Genomic DNA, 5,034 nt, shown 5'->3' on the forward strand with positions numbered 1-5,034 from the left:
TTAGTCAGTCTTACTTAGGATAGTCTTTGGCAGTCAGGGAGGGACAGGGAATGCTATAAACTGAACATTTAGGTCCCCAAAATTCGTATGTTGAAATCTTAACCCCCATTGTAATGGTATTGGGAAGTGGGGCCTTTGGGAGGTATATTAGTCTGTTTTCACGCTGCTTTAAAGAGCTGCCTGTGACTGGGTAATTTACGAAGAAAAGAGGTATAATTGACTCACAGTTCCACGTGGCTGGCGACGCCTCAGAAGATTTACAATCATGGCAGAAGGCAAAGGGGAAGCAATACATGTCTTACATGGTAGCAAGTGAGAGATGAAGGGGAAAGTGCTGCATTTTTAAACCATCAGATCTCGTAAGAGCACGATCATGCGACAGCACTAGGAGGATGGTGCTAAACCATTAGAAACCACCTCCATGATCAAATCACCTCCCACTAGGCCCCACCTTCAACACAATGATATTTGGGTAGGGACACAGAGCCAAACCTTACCAGGAGGTAATTAGGTCATGAGGGTAAAACCCTTTCACATGGGATTAGTGTTCTTATAAAAGAGGCCCCAGAGAGCTCCCTTACTCCTTCAACCACATAAGAACACAGCAAAGAAAGGACTTTCTATGAATCAGGATGCAGGTCCTTAGCAGACACTGAATCTGCTGATGTCTCAATCTTGAACTTTCCAGTCTCCAGAACTGTGAGAAATAAATTTCTGTTGTTTATAAGCCACCCAGTCTATGGTATTTTGGTATAGTAACCCAAACAGACTAAGACAGGAGGTAATCATTCGATTTTGTTCTTAGGAGAATGTAGATCTAGAAATCTGGATTCATTTTATTCTCTCATAACCAGGAAAATAATTCTCCTTTCCATTCAGTGGCACGTTATCCATCCATCAAAATTAAGTAATTGGAAGAAATAATTTACCAAGAATAAAATATTAGGAAATTGTTGCTTAACTTACAGCAGTCCTCCAATGTAGTGGGTGCAAATTACCATTTCTTTCTCTCCTTTACCTCATATCCCTAATTACTTGTATTTGATTAAGTCATCCTCTCCTCTTTTTATCTTCCATCAGTTTGTATCTCCTAACTCTTCACCAGGTAGCTTATTAAAGTTCTCCACATTGTGTAAATTCCTTTTACTTCCACAAATCTTCTGATAAAGGGCTTGAAAACAGGACCTGGACAATTTGCAATAACATCACGTACATGACTACTCTAAAACTCCATAAAATTAAAGTGCAATTAAATGAGTTTAAAATTATATAAATTGAACACTTAATGATCCTGCCCAAGAGCTTTTAGGATGCATTTTTATAATGTGCATTACTTTAAAAATTAAGATATTTAAGTTAGTGGGGAGATACTTTAAAGCTATGGTTAAAAGTACATTTATATTAAAATATAGTTAAAAGTTAGAAAACAATCATTTACCCAGTCTGAAAAATCCCATGGAAATAAATGTCTTCTGCACCTTAGATATGTTTTACAGCAGCAACATTGTGCTGAAGGAACCATACAAATATTGCAGCTAAATGAGAACACTGAAATTGATTAAAGAGTTTTTCATGGAAGCTAAATGTATTACAATTACAATAAGCAAGTAGAAGCATAATTTCATAAGTTTTTAAAGATAATTCACAAAGGAAAGTTTTTTAATTTGGAATGTTTACAAATGTTAGCTAGGATATATTTGGAGTAACTAGTACTGGTTATCCTGGAGAAGAAATAGCCATTGAGCACTTCAACAGAAAGCATCTTGATGAATATTACATTATTTATGAAATTAAAGTTGTAAGTTACAGTTCTGAAACACTCTCTGATGGCTATAACTACCAAGATAGTCAACATGATTTTATGTTATGCTGTTTAAGAAATTTGAAACACTTTTTTGGAACAAAGTGAAAGTAAAGAGAAAGTGAGATAGAGATGAGAGAGAGAAAGAGAAGAAATCAAGAATTTCAAATGTCTGAAATATTCTCAACATTACACGAGGTACTAAGGGAGTACAGGAGAACCAAACAATTCATGAGGTAGTTGGAAAGATCAAGTTAACAAGCCGGAAGAAATGCATGCTGTTCTGTATTCAATAGCTTGCCGTTTCTGAGCTGCCATTAATTAGCAAAGAAAGAACAGAAAAAGTAAAATTTAGACATCAAAACATGACAAAACTCATCACACTACTTTATATGGCGTCCAAATAAAGTTACTTAAATAAACAAAATTATCAATAAGTAAAAAAGTACTGTCTATAACATTATGAGATATTCTGTAAGGACCAAAATGTACCATGTATTTTGAGGACTTTATACCAAGAAATGCAAAATTGCTCATTAATATTTTTACATTGATCACAGGTTAAATGTGTAAAATAATATTTTAATTTTTTATCTATATTGGACTAAATGAAATACATGATTAAAATTAATTTTACCTATTTTATTGTGACTACTAGAAAGTCTTAATGAAATAATTGGCTTGCATTATATTTCTACTGAGCAGCACCGATCTGGAAGTGCTTACTTCTCTGCATATAACAGTGATGAATATAAATATTAACTTTAGAAATTCAGTAAAGAAGAGAGATAAGAATAGAGACAGGATAATAGGAAGTCCTCCTAAGGACATAAGGCTTAGGCTGGGCCTTGTTGATATCAAGGGAAGGAAAAATGGAAGAGGGCTAAGCCAAGACATAAAGATGACAATGAGTTTGACATAGGGTGATGGCTATTTGGCAACCATTATTATCGCACCAAATAGCATCTGCAAAAGATCAAACAAGAAAGAATGAGTTTGGATTTTTTTTCAAATGAACACGAGGGAATAAAAATGTTGACGTGTATTTCTAATTTGACATGGTAATGAACAACCAAAACTAATCAGAGAACAGCCCTGAATTGACGAACATCAGTTTCCAGTTTGAAAGTCTACCAAGGACTCAGCACAATGAATGAAATGAGAAAATTAGGGTGAATCTTTGTGCAGTTTCAGAATCCCAGAATACAGTAGTCCCCTGGTATCACCAAGCATTGGTTCCAGGATATCCCCAATACTAAAATATTGGGATGCTCAAGCCCCTTATTTAAAATGACATAGTATTTGCATATAACCTATGCATATAACCCAAATAATTTCTAAATTAGTTAGTATTAAATTAGTAATAAATTACTATTATCTTAATACAGTGTAAATACTATGTAAATAGTATTTATTATGTAGTTATTATGTAGTTATGCCGTATTTTTATTATTTTTGTATTGTTATTTTTGTTTTTTACCAAATATTTTTGATCCACAGTTGGATGAATCCATGGATGCAAAATCCATAGATACAGAAGGCTCTTGTAACGAGAAGTCCTAAAAGCTTTCAGAATCCAAAAGAGTAGAAACTCAATGATATCAACCTTCTCAATCACAGCATTAAATAGTAAAAGCTCACAGCGATAGGCTTTCAATCAATTGCCAAATAACAAACCACCCTAAAACTTAGTGGCTTCAAGCAACAGCTGTTTGATTATGCCTAAAAATTTATGTCAGGGCACAGCAGTGATGGCTTTGCTCTTCCCATGATGACTGAGGCCTCAGCCTGGGAGCTTGAATAGCTGAAAATAGTTGGGATAGGTTGACTGGGTTCATAACCTAGGACTTCAACTTTGGTTGTTAGATGGTTTTTGTTTTTGTTTTTGTTTTTCCTTTCTTCAGTCACATCCACTGGCTAGAAATGTTCAAGATGACTCATTTCCACAATATCTGGGGTCTGGGCTGGGATGGCAGGAACAGCTGGGGACTGCCCAGTCATCTCTTGTTCCCTGCCTCCTCTTTACATGGCTACCTTGGGCCTCTTCGTGACATGGTCATCTCAGTGTATTGCTTCCCTAGAGCAAGAGTTTTAAGAGGGAAATGTGGAAGGTGCAAGGGCTTTTAATGACCTAGTTTCAGAATTCCTAGAATATTTTGGCCTCATTCTATTAGTCAGGTGAATCACTAAGACCATCCCAGACTCAAGGAGAGGGTAATTAGATTGCATCTCTCAAAAGGAGTTGCAAAAAATCTGCAGTTGTGTATAATATCCACTAAAAAGAAAATTATTTTTAGTTTAGAATGATATATTCAGCTTAGCTTTCAACTGAGTGTGAAAATAGACATTTCATGCATATAATAACTTGGTGTTTTGCTCCAATATGTCATTTCTTTGGAATCTACTGAAGAACTATTACATGCCAAAATAAAGGAAGCTGATTAATAAAGAGAAAGATGCAGAATCTAGGAAACACCAGCTATGAAACAAACATAAAAACCCACTAGTACAAATTGTGTAGTGAATTGAGCCTCACGAACAGAGGAATTCATGGGAATTAAATAAAGAAAAAAAATGAATAGTAGATGTTTGTGTGTTTGGAGTAAACATTGATTAACAGGCATTTGATAGAGGCAATAAAGCTAACTAATTACAGGTATATTGAAACTGATCCAAATAACACATATTAACTAAAGAAAAACAAAACTATATCTAAGAAAAAAATATAAAAATATTTACGATAAACCTACTGAGAGAACAGAAGAAGCTAACTGGAGATGAGGGGCTGTGTAAATTTGACAAAGCAAGAAAGTTTCATTTAAAAGCATGATAAACATATTATTTAGAAATATGGAGATAAGTATCTAAATAAACAACTAAAAGAAATAAAAACAGGTTTCCTCTGCAGAAAAAAACTGATTTCAGGGTCACACTTTAAAGAAAAACTGAAATGTATAGGAGCACATCAGAGCAAAGTGAGCAGAAGGGAAGCATGGCTCTGCCATAGCACATGAGAAATTAGCCACATGGGCTACATCCCTAGGGAATCTGGTGGCTTTGAGTATCTGAAGACTGTACTGTGGGCAAAGACCTGACTTAATTTTTTGTGTCTTTAAGGGACAAAACTGGAACAAGTGAATGAAAGTTACCATTCTCCTTAAAGAAGATTTTTTCCTATAAGGAAAACTGTCTGAAAATAGAGGTGCAGAAAACTCTCTGCCCCTAGAGTTGTT

The 5,034-nt window shown here is 35.0% G+C and overlaps 1 annotated feature.

The window, feature by feature from the left end:
- Window positions 4,456–4,625: an enhancer, noted in NCBI's record as "experimental_9855 CRE fragment used in MPRA reporter constructs". NCBI's record gives its function as "activates a minimal promoter by MPRAs in K562 erythroleukemia cells, with activity observed for the non-introgressed 10:110768220 variant allele {active_cell/tissue: K562}" and the evidence as "EXISTENCE:reporter gene assay evidence [ECO:0000049][PMID:34662402]".

The sequence above is a fragment of the Homo sapiens genome, chromosome 10 (genome assembly GCF_000001405.40).
Source record: "Homo sapiens chromosome 10, GRCh38.p14 Primary Assembly".
Classification (NCBI taxonomy): domain Eukaryota; kingdom Metazoa; phylum Chordata; class Mammalia; order Primates; family Hominidae; genus Homo; species Homo sapiens.